Below are 12,687 nucleotides of genomic sequence, written 5' to 3'. Positions count from 1 at the left end.
AAAAGATAGTTAAAGTGTTTCTTGGTATCCTGTGATAATAAATGCATTTGAAAATGTGAACCCTGAAATTGTACAGCAGTGTCCAGTGATAAGTTGAATGAATAAACTTAAAAGTAACTTTAAAAAGATTATCCTGAAAGTAAAAGTCAAACTTAAAATTCTCATTGATGACTTGAAGACTCCCAATAATGCATTGCAGATTCACTTCCCAGGATGAAATATACTCTGTCAGAGTCCCCATCATTCACCTGGCAAATTCCTCCAACTCCTTCTGGACCCAGCCAGAAGCACTGTCCCCTGTACTGAAACTGCCCCAGTTTCCCCAGGCCAATTCTCTGTGTTTGCATTATACTGAAATACTACTTACCTTTTTCTGATTCAGAAGTCATCATTCATTTGTCTCCACGACTGACTTGTGAGCAATTTGAGGGGAAAAGATGGTAATTTATATAGTGTGTTCCTAGCAGCTGAGCCATAATAGCTGGTTAATGTTTGTTTGTTTATTTATTTATTTGTTTATTTATTTGAAATGGAATCTCGCTCTGTCGCCCAGGCTGGAGTGCAGTGGCGTGATCTTGGCTCACTGCAACCTCTGCCTCCTGGGTTCAAGTGATTCTCCCACTTCAGCCTCCTAAGTAGCTGGGATTACAGGCACATGCCACCATGCCCAGCTAATTTTTGTATTTTTAGTAGAGACGGGGGTTTCACCATATTTGTCAGGCTGGTCTCAAACTCCTGACCTTGTGATCCGCCCACCTTGGCCTCCCAAAGTGCTGGGATTACAGGCGTGAGCCACTGTGCCTGGCCGATTAATGTTTATTTAATAGCATATCATCCTTTAGTCTGTGATTAAATACCATTTCTAAAAAGAAACTTTCCTGGCTCAATCAACTTCCCAGAATCCCTGTTATGCCTCTCAGAATAGAATAGACTTCTCCTTCCTAATGTTACATGACGGGTAATTGTCTTAGGGAAATTATTTATTTATCATTGCTTTCCCTACCAGATCCGTGAGGCCAGGGTCTGTATTTTCCTGTTCCCCTATATTCCCCCCTTTGCCTAGTACAGTGCCAGGCAGCTACTCTCATGTGGTCAGATGGCACATTCACAACAGTCCTGGGTCATGAGCCTCCTACATGATGATCCTGCAGCTGCCACTTGCTCCTGTATGCCTATTCACCACCACCTACCTGTGTTTGCAAGTTCCATGAGGAAGGGCCCATGCCTCCTCCTGCTTATCACAGTGTGTCCAAATCAGTGCCTGGTTCAGGGCCTGTGTGTATGGGACATCTCCTAGGCACCACTTCACACCCTCTCAGCCCTACCTTCCACTCCAGCCACCACCTCAGCAACCAGTTCTGTGCAAACTTACACCCACTTTGTGTAGGTGCAATCTGTTAGTGCCTCACCTGGGTCTAGGCCATGTACCTCTCTGTTCCTGTCCTTGAGTTTCTCCAGCCAGAGGAGTGGGACCCTGTGAGAACACCCTGGCCACACAAGCATGCATAAGCCAGTCTGCACAGTGTTAATATTTGTGGGGCCATCCTTGGCCAATGTGGACAGTTACGAGACCCACTTTAGAAAGCTTCTCAGGAGGTCCGGCGGTTGGAGCATGGTCGCCTACAATACTGGCCAACTTCATAATACATCCTTGTACTGTCTTTCCCTCCTTCCTTCTGTCCCTGGTCTCTCACTCTTGCTCCCTGGAATCACTTCTCAAATAAACTACCTGTCTCTGGCTCTGCTTTTAGGGATATTCAGGTCAAGACATGATGCAACAAGTTTTTGTTGAATGACCAAGTGAATGAATAAAACTATAACCATGTTGGATACATAAGCATAGTTGGGTCACCAAAAATATCGTAAATGATTATTGGCATTTGTGTAGCTCCTGAGAACAGAATTATCTCCAGTAGAAACGTGTGAGAGACATTTCTATCCCAAAGAATCCATTTAAAAGAACTCACTTATTTAAAAAAAAGAAAGAAGAAGAAAACAGTGGGTGCCAGGGGCTGGGGCGAGGGGAGAATGAGGAGGGTTTTTTCATGAGTACAGTTTCAGTTTGGGAAGATGAAAAATTCCACCTTCCTGGGGATGGATGGTGAGGATGGTTGCACAGTGGGTATGTACTTAATGCCATTGAACTGTATACTAAAAATGGTTAAAATGATAAATTTGTGATATGGATATTTTACCACTATAAAATTATAAGTATAATACATTCATAACCATTAAAAAACACAATGGTCATAAAGAAACATTGGCAGGAAATAAATGCAAATGTTGATAATTCCTGTGATATGGAGGTAGAATTTCATCAAATATATTTTTTAGCTTCCAAACTTTCTCCACCATGGTTGTATTGTATTCCTAACCTGATAGCAGCAATTATTAGTAACTACAGTAATAATTATTAAGAATTATGGTATTAATAATTCCATTTTTCTTGACATGGCCTCAAAACATACATACATACATACATACATACATATAGGCTAACACTAAACTTTTTTTTATTTTTTTTTCGTATACTTTAAGTTCTGTGCAGAACGTGCAGTTTTGTTACATAGGTATACACATGCCGTGGTGGTTTGCTGCACCCATCAACCCGTCACCTACATTGGGCATTTCTCCTAATACTGTCCCTCCACTAGCCCCTCAACCCGACAGGCCCCGGTGTGTGATGTTCCTCTCCCTGTGTCCATGTGTTTTCATTGTTCAACTCCTACTTATGAGTGAGAACATGCAGTGTTAGGTTTTCTGTTCTTGTGAGAGTTTGCTGAGAATGATGGCTTCCAGCTTCATCCATGTCCCTGCAAAGGACATGAACTCATCCTTTTTTATGACTTCACAGTATTCCATGGTGTATATGTGCCACATTTTCTTTATCCAGTCTATCACTGATGGACATTTGGGCTCCAAGTTTTTACTATTGTGAATAGTGCCACAATAAACATACATGTGCATGTGTCTTTATATTAGAATGATTTATAATCCTTTGGGTATATACCCAGTAATGGGATTGCTAGGTCAAATGGTATTTCTAGTTCTAGATCCTTGAGGAATTGCCACACTGTCTTCCACAATGGTTGAACTAATTTACGCTCCCACCAACAGTGTAAAAGCATTCCTATTTTTCTACATCTTCTCCTGCATCTGTTGTTTCCTGACTTTTTAATGATTGCCATTCTAACTGGCATGAGATGGTATCTCATTGTGGTTTTGATTTGCATTTCTCTAATGACCAGTGATGATGAGCTTTTTTTCATATGTTTGTTGGTTGCATAAATGTCTTCTTTTGAGAAGTGTCTGTTCATATCCTTTGCCCAGTTTTTGACGGAGTTGTTTGTTGTTTTCTAGTAAATTTTTTAAGTTCTTTGTGGATTCTGGATATTAGCCCTTTGTCAGATGGATAGATTGTAAAAATTTTCTCCCATTCTGTAGGTTGCCTGTTCACTATGATGATAGTTTCTTTTGCTGTGCAGGTCTTTAGTTTAATTAGATCCCATTTGTCAATTTTGGCTTTTGTTGCCATTGCTTTTGGGATTAACACTAAACTTTGAATACAAAAGAATACATCATTAACTAGACTGCTGATTTTTAATAATGATAATTTAATGATGATATTGTAAAATTTTGTTTTGTTCTATTCAATCGCTCATTAATTGGGACTTAATTTTCAAGGAGCTGGAAATTAGACCAAAATCATCATATGGCTTGTTTTTATAAAGGATACGCTGATAACATACTATACTTTATGTAAAATGTGAACATTGAGGGAAGTAATGTGAAAGGCTCTTTATGAAAATAAGGCTAAACCCCAATAATTACTCCCTTAATCTCTTTATGGTCTCCCATTTTTTATGATTACTATGTATTTTTATTATCATTGATTCTATCTTAACATTGGTATTCTTCTTTTAAGGATACCAATGCTTTCTTCCTCCACAATTTTGGATTTAACCAAGTGTATTTATCCCTGGATATTTCCCTAAATTTAGTGATCAGTGCATTATACTCTATGAAACACTCCACTGAATCCTGCTAGGAGACAGTATTCTGGAATTCCAACCCCATTTCATAACAGCCACAATTCCTGTATTCTTGGGCAAATTGCTTTACTTTGCTTATGACTGACTTTGATGAATAATTAAGACAAAACTAAGAATTCCTATATGCATTTTCCAAGATTATTCTGTAGAATACTTGGGCCACATGACAGTCCCATAAAATTAAGTTTTAGGATCAAATATATGTGAAAAAAGACTGAGAATTTATCCTTGGCTTAGAGATCAACAATGCAGAATAGCACCTAAAGGCTCTGGGAAGTCTTTCACTAAAAAAGTAGTAATTTATCTGTTCTGATAAATATAAATATATATACACACATATATACATACATATATATATATATATATATCTGACTGCTGGATTCTTTAAAAAATTTATTATCAATTTTAACATAGCTTAGAACAAAGCGTTCTAAGAACATACTTTAGGAGACACTGATTTTACATAAATACAAGTTATTAATTCTAGAAAGAAAAAAAAGGCAAGAAGATCTTCTTGGTGGAGCAGAGAACTCCCTGTCATTGCAAAACCAGAAGTGGTTAGGTGGCTGCTTGCTGAGGATATTCTAGTCCAGTCTCCTACCCAAGGAAGTCACTTTTATAAAGGTGCTTCTAATTTCAAAATGGTATGACAATTAGAAAATGTGCCCTGATGGGAAGCCCTTCATGGCAAACTCAGTTGCCTTCATGACCAGGCAAGAAGAAGTAAAATCACTCAGGGCCTTGGTGCAGTACAAACCGTCGGTGGGTGATGGAAACTGTGAAGGGAGAGAACAACTGCCCTATCTAACGGGAGCAATCACCACTCAGCTTCAGCTGCCGTTCCCATGTAGATGAACAAGCCTAGCATTACTAGATAGTGTGATGATTCATGAAAAGCCTAAAATTTATATGTCAATGGAAAACTCCCTTAATTTTGAATATTAGCTCAATAAAATAGAAAATGAAAACACTGTAAAAGACAAACAAAATACTCATTGTAGGCCAAGTTTGACCCATAGGGCAATAGTTAGGAGTCCTCCTGTGTTTAGAAATGGGTAGCCCTACCCTAAATAATCTGAGACGGACAAGATGTCAGATTTCCTCTGCTTAGTTTTCACTAGCTTTCCTCCATTCTGGTTACCTGGTCACCTCTTGTTATGCCTGTCTCCTTGCTTGCTTAGGAACCAGATCGATTGGAACATGTTAAAAAAAAAAAAAAAAGAGTGAAAAGGCATTGAGTGAGGACATGAAGGGACATCTATGTAGAGAAAGCATGGATTTCAGAATAATAGATATTATAATTTATAGTATCTATTTTAGCAGCTCAGAGGCATTTTTTTTTAGTATTGTGCTCTTCCCAGCTGTTTTCCAGGTAGTAAGGAGTCACTGTGTTGCCTGAAAGTACTCACAGACTGCCATCAAGCTTTCAGAATGTAATTTTAATATAGTCTTCTGTTCAGAAATAACTCTTGCAATTTAAAACTGTCTTAAGACAACATGTAATTGATCTCAACATGCATAAACACAAGCCAATATGGTTTCAAGATTTTATGAATTTGGGTCTTAAAAAAAAAGAACAGGAATAAAAAATGATTACTAAGGTTTCACTTAAAAGGGATTGCATATCTCTTCTCAGCTTCTATAAATCTTTCATAATCATGTAGCTCTTGATCAGAGTGAAGCAAGCAGAAATATTTTAATAGAGTCAAAGGTCAGACTGTAGCTAAGTGGGTGAAATGGGACAGAGTGGCAGGCAAGCATTGGATGGGGCCATCTCTTCATTAGGGCAGTGAGTGAAAAGGATTTTTTAGTCGTTTAATCACCTTTTTAAGAAAATTTGACAGTGCAACTAAAGAGTGGATGATCTTTGGGGTCTTGTTTAATGTTACTTCAATATTGTTGAATTCCAGAGTTAGAAGGTCATTAATGCAAGCAAATGACTCATCACTAGAGTGACAGACTTTCTGGAGCATTGCCCAAGTATTCTGGCACCATGCTGGGGATAGAGATGTTAAAAAAATGAAGACGAGGAAGGAGACAAACACATTGTTAAAATGTAGTAAGTGCCAGGATAGACAGGTATACATCATTACAGAAGAAGGCACTTCACAGCCTGGGAGATGGGCAGGGGTGGGGGAGAGCCAGGCAGATCAGGGAAGGAGACACAAGGAGAAGGCAATTGGTAGGGGAGGTACGCCATTCAAAACTTGTTAAAAAGGAAAAGTTAAATCATTTTAACTCAATGTGGCCACATGAGCCAGTCTCTAACTTTTATTAAGACAAGTGCTCTGCCAGGAAAGCAGGTTCTCTGAATAATAGGCTTCTACATGCTAAAAGGGTTGACTTTTCTTTTCTTTTCTTTGCTTTTTTTTTTTTTTTTTTTTTTTTTTGAGATGGAGTCTCGCTCTGTCACCCAGGCTGGAGTGCAGTGGTGCGATCTCGGCTTACTGCGACCTCCGCCTCCTGGGTTCAAGTGATTCTCCTGCCTCAGCCTCCCAAGTAGCTGGGACTACAGGTGTGCGCCACCACACCCAGCTAATTTTTTGTATTTTTAGTAGAGACAGGGTTTCACCGTGTTAGGCAGGATGGTCTCAATCTCCTGACCTCATGATCCGCCCGCCTCAGCCTCCCAAAGTGCTGGGATTACAGGCATGAGCCACCATGCCTGGCCTGAGGGTTGACTTTTCAATGGTGCTACAGCAAATGAGAGTTTGGCATTCATATGCAGATTTTTTTTTAGACATGTTTTCTACGTTTTGAAAACTATGCCATACTGTGTAAGTGCTTGCAATAAATATGTTTTCTCCTTTGCAAGTGTGTCTTTACACTAGAATGGTGCTGCTGCCTCCAAAATGTCACAACAGAGCATGTGGTTTGCAAGTGCCCACTTACGTCAAGAACCTCTTAACTATATTGAGCACAGAACAAGTACAACTAGCACTTCTAGATACTATTGGGATAGGCTGTATGAATTCACCAAATTAGCTGCAGTTTCCATCAAAGTTTTTATTTCATTGATTGGACCCATTGTTATTTTTCCAAAGTAAAAATTCGATCAGACTTTTGAACACATTGTCTTGTTGCTGGAGTTATCTTAGCCAATGCTTCTCACTTAAAACTCATGTGTTTGAAATAATAAAACATATTTCTCTGTTTCTCCTTAAAAAGGCAATGTTTTGGCCAGGTGCAGTGGCTCACGCCTGTAATCCCAGAACTTTGGGAGGCCAAGGTGGGTGATCACCTGAGGTCAGGAGTTCAAGACCAGCCTTGCCAACACGGTGAAACGCTGTCTCTACTAAAAATACAAAAAATTAGCTGGGCATGGTGGTGGGCACCTGTAATCCTAGCTACTTGGGAGGCTGAGGAAGGAGAATCGCTTGAACCCAGGAGGCAGAGATTGCAGTGAGCTGAAATCACGCCACTGCACTCAGCCTGGGCAACAAGAGCGAAACTCCATCTCAAAAAAAAAAAAAAAAAAAGGCAATGTTTCATTTCTATTATCAGAAAATTCTTGGAATACAGACTTTCCTCCCACTTGTTTGGGGAGTCACTAACAGTTCCTTTTTCAGACAAAGATTACTTCTTCCACATAAAAGATGAAAAATGGCACTTGTCCCGTGTGACCGATCCCTGAGCCAGCCATTCTTAGTGAAGATGGATAAATACTGGTGTAACCCAGATGTCAGCTGAGGTCTCCCATAAAATTGGCTTGACCTTTCTAAGTCACAGCCATGGGGGACCTCTGTGTCCTTGCCAGGATTTCAGAGAATTTCCCAGGTCGTAGGCTCATGTCTGTCACCACTGACTCCAAGTTACTGCTCTGCTGAACTCCCCCTCATGGCCCAGCCACAGCTCTCCCCTCATGTCTGCTCTGTGCCAACTGGGGTGACTTTTCATTGATTCCACTCAACACACCGCCCAGGCATTTATGTATGGCAGACTTTACTGAAACTTTTGTGCTATGGAGAGCACTTGTTGAAACAGAATGCAAACGGCGGAAAATGAATCATTAGGCATCTTTGTGGTGGCAGGCCCTTCAACCACACAGCCATCAGTAATTCCTTGTTTTCCCACACACAACATCTTCCTGTGATGTAGCTCAGCCCCTGTCTTCTGCAAGACTCCTACCATCTCCATGCTTCCCTGTTTTCCAGGCTGTCTCCTCTCAGCTTCTCTCCCTCAATTCCCCTGCAATTTATTATGCAGAGCAGCTGAGCTCTGGAGCTAGCCAACTGAACAACCAAGGAGGAAAGAATCCTTTGAAAGGGTGCTGGGCAGCTCATAGAACCTCCGCTGTATGATCAGAGAACCAGGCCAGAAAAAGGGAGGGAGCAAAAGAAAGAGAAAACTCTGAAGCCAGGGTCAAGACCAACAGCTCCAGACACCACAGCTGCCTCCATGTCACAGCTTCATGTCCTAAAGCCTCCTGCTCTGGACCCAGGGATGCCACCACTGCCCCACTGCCAGTGCTGTTCATGCAAACCAGTGCTGCTGATACTGCTCAGCCCGTGCAATCCCCACTGCCAAAACAACGTCCTCTCTGCCTGCTTCTTTGCATCACTAGCTCCTCATTTCTAGTCTGGATGCAGGCATCTGATCAGCCAAGCCTATGTCTTGTACCCATTCTTGCCATAGCTGCACAGCAGCCTGACAAATGAAGCATCTGGTTTTTGGCTTCTATGGTGAAAGACAGACTTTGCTTTCTGCCTGACCTCACACAGTGGGAAAATCCACAACCATAGGAAAGGGGTTGAGATGTGGGGCAGCTGGAAGTAAAATCCGTCTCCTTCACCTTTCCACTGCCTATTTGGCTCCTGGCCTTTCTGGCTCCTTAATGACTTTGTACAACCAAAGACCTAATATAGTCATTGCTAAAAGGTCATCTTCTCAAGTCTCGCCTTCTAAGAACCCAAATCTGGGGCAATTTTGTTCTCTTAACCTTTCCTTTCTTTTGCCTGAAATGAAATTACCCATTTCATTAACCCCAATTTTAAAAACATGAAGGTCCATGCCCAAAATTAATGAAACCTTTCTCAGGTGTCCAAGGTGATGAGTCATTTATGTTCTAGCAACTATCTAAGAGCAACTTTCAGACAACTTCTGTCCCTAAAATTGTTTTTATTTTGAGCTATTTCTGATGTATCCTGGGATTATAACAGACAGAGCGGTCACAAGGGGAATGGATATTCTATAGATTCCCAAAGGTTGAATCTTCCATCCAAGCTTTACTCCTGCACCATTCACACACCTGCACTATTCACACGCCTGCCCTGCACTATTCATACACCTGCACCATTCACACATGTACAGTGTCCATACACCTGCAGTATTCACACACATGCACTGTCCATTCACCTGCACTGTTCATACAACTGCACCATTCATACACTGACACTGTCCATGTACCTGTACTGTTCACACACCTACAATGTCCATACACCTGCACCATTCACACAAATGCACTATCACCTGCACCATCCACACACATACACTGTTCATACAACTGCACCATTCACACACATGCACTGTCCATACATCTGCAACATTTGCACACATGCAGTGTTCATACAACTGCACCATTCACATACATGCACTGTCCATACACCTGCAACATTCACACATGTACTGTCTATACAACTGCACCATTCTCATACATGCACTGTCCATACACCTGGGCCAATCAAAACATGCACTGCCTGCACCATTCACACACATGCACTGTTTGTACACCTGCACCTTTCACACACTTGCACCATCCACACACCTGCACTCTCCAATATTAGCCAGTTATGGCTATTGAGTGATTGTAATAGGGAATATCCAAGTTTCATCACTTGAAATATACTAAAAAATGTAGAAGCCAGACCAAATTTTGAAGCTGTAGTACTTATTCTGAATGTAAAATATCTAATTACTAATTTTTATATTAATTATGTATTAAAATAGTAATATAGATATATTGACTTCAATAAAATGTTTTATTAAAATAAATGTCACCTGTTTCTTTTTACTTCTTTTTTTTTCTTTTTTTGAGATGGAGTCTCGCTCTGTTGCCCAGGCTGGAGTGCAGTGGTGCAATCTTGGCTCACTGCAACCTCCACCTCCCAAGTTCAAGCAATTCTCCTGCCTCAGCCTCCTGAGTAGCTGGGATTACAGGCACGCACCACCACACCTGGCTAATTTTTGTATTTGTAGTAGAGATGGGGTTTCACCATGTTGCTCAGGCTGGTCTCAAATTCCTGACCTCGTGATCTGCCTGCCTTGGACTCCCAAAGTGCTGGGATTACAGGCATGAGTCACCAAGCCTGGCCTCTTTTTACTTCTTAAAAGTAACCCCTAGGTCATTTAAAATTACATATGTGGCTTGCATCATGTTTATATTACACTACTCTACACACTGAAATGCACCTGTAAATTTCAGTCAATTAGTACATAGCCCTGAAGAATCAAGAAGCCTCTGAGACCAAAACAAGAAGCCTCTGAGACAAAACAAGAAGCCTCTGAGACCAAACAGTCACAGTTACACTTTTTGAAAACACTTATAAAATTATCTTGTGTGAACAAAATAAATCTATTCATCATTCATCTAGCAGTGTTCTAGATTAAGTAATTAATTAATTAACCATTATTGAGAATCTACTATGTGCCATACACTATGTTGGAGAATGGGACAACTGTGAACAAATCAGACTCAGCCACTGCCTTTGTGTAAAGTCAAGTAGTTAAGAGAGCACACCTGGGATCCTGACAACTTGGGTCCAAATTCTGACCCCATCCCTTACCAGCCATATGATCTGGAACAAGTTAAAACAGCCTTAGTTTTCTTATATATAAAACAGGAATTTTATCTGGTAAAGATGCTGCAAGAATTAAATTAGTAAAAGGCAAATAGAAGCATACTATGTTAGTCACCTAGTGCTGTATAACTTAGCAGCTTAAAACAACATGCATTTATTATCTCACTGATTCTTTGGATCAGGGATGGAGGCAGAGCTTCCCTAGGTCCTCTGCTTTAGGCTCTCTCACAAGGCTTCAATCAAGATGTTAGACAGGGCTGGGGCCTCATCTGAAGGCTTAACTGGGGAAGGATTGACTTCCAGGTTCACTAAATGATGATTGTCAGGATTCCTGTCTTTTGGGATATTGAACTGAAGGCTTTAGTTTCTAACTGGATGTTCCTTGCTTGGGCATCTCCAACCTGGCACTAGGCTTCATCAAAGCCAAGAGAGAAAGTCTGCTGTTAGGACAGATAAAAATCCCTGCCTTCATGGAGCTTACATTTGAACTGGCTGTATGGCAGAGAGTATCAGGAGGTTGGTGGAAGAGAGACAGGCACTAGCAATAGAAACAAATCTAAATTCCATTAAGGTTACATCCCCAAATTACGGAATGTTCATTCTAAAATGCCAATCTCATCATGACCCTCTTTTTTATTAAATATGCTCCAATTGGTAGACTCATTGCTTTAAAGACAAAGACAAAATTTCTTAATATTCACTACAACCTACTGTCCCATGCTGTGTTTCCAGTGTATCTACCATAGCAGTAGTCGAATGGTTACACAGACTAGCTACTCTGAAAATGATTTTTAAAGTGTCTTAGATTTTCCATTTTTTGCCTTTTATTCTTCCACTTGTGTTCATATCTTAACATTATATTATATTGAAAGGAGCATCTCAGTGATGTTCCAGTAAAACTGGAATTAATAGTCTTGAACCCTTGAAGAAGATAATATTGGTACCAACATCTTCTTGAAGGCCCTTTCCATCATTATATCATCATTATCATAAATACTGATATAAGGCTGACTTTTATTACAATTAAAACGGGATTGAAGGCCAAGGCAGAAAGATCACTTGAGACCAGGAATTTGAGACCAGCTTGGACAACATACTGAGATCCTGTCTCTACAAAAAACAAACAAACAAACAAACAAAGATGGAAGGTTCTGACCCTTTACCTGAGTCAAGGAGGTGGGACCAAGTAGAATTTCTTAGAAGCAAACCATAATAGAAGCTTCTTTGATTTGCTCCTGGCGCTTTCTGTGCTGGAGATCTATGGGTAGAAGCAAAGAATTAAAAAAAAAATCCAAATAGTTTTTCCTACTAAAAAATTGGTGGGAATTCCAGCAGAAGTAGTCAATAGACAGATGCTATCCAGTGAATTGAGAGTCTCAGGTGAACTGGAGACTGGCACATATAGAATCAGAGCCTTAGAGTTGGAAAGATTTCAGAGATGATGCAGTGCAAGCCCCCAGCCATAGACAGAGTCCCTTCAATGTCACACCAGTCCTGCAACTTCTTTTACTTCCACCCTTCTAATTATAGAGAACTGGCTCTTTTACAAGGCTGCCATTTTCATCATTAGAGCCCAGCTGTTATCTGCACTCTTCTTCTTTATTTTAAGGTATTTCCCCGGAATTACTGCACATTAAAATTTTTGACATTTTAGGCTACAGAAATTTTGACTGAATCCTCTTGCTGTACAACAGCCCCCACAACACTTGCTCTCAGGTGTCTCACTTATCTTAAAAGTCCTCTCTTTGTCATACTTCTCTTCAGATGTTTCCAACATGCACCGCCTCTGAAGTTTTTTTGTTCCAGCCATCTCTGTAGGATGAAGAGTAAGTTCTCAG

At 40.5% G+C, this 12,687-nt stretch overlaps 1 annotated feature.

Moving 5' to 3' along the window:
• Window positions 5,907–6,201: an enhancer, noted in NCBI's record as "tiled region #11274; HepG2 Activating DNase matched - State 9:DNaseU". NCBI's record gives its function as "activates a minimal TATA promoter and a strong SV40 promoter by Sharpr-MPRA in HepG2 cells {active_cell/tissue: HepG2}" and the evidence as "EXISTENCE:reporter gene assay evidence [ECO:0000049][PMID:27701403]".

This window comes from Homo sapiens, chromosome 6, assembly GCF_000001405.40.
Source record: "Homo sapiens chromosome 6, GRCh38.p14 Primary Assembly".
In the NCBI taxonomy this organism is placed as follows: Eukaryota; Metazoa; Chordata; class Mammalia; order Primates; family Hominidae; genus Homo; species Homo sapiens.
Note: the sequence above shows the minus strand (reverse complement) of the source record. Positions and strands in the feature narration are given on the sequence as shown.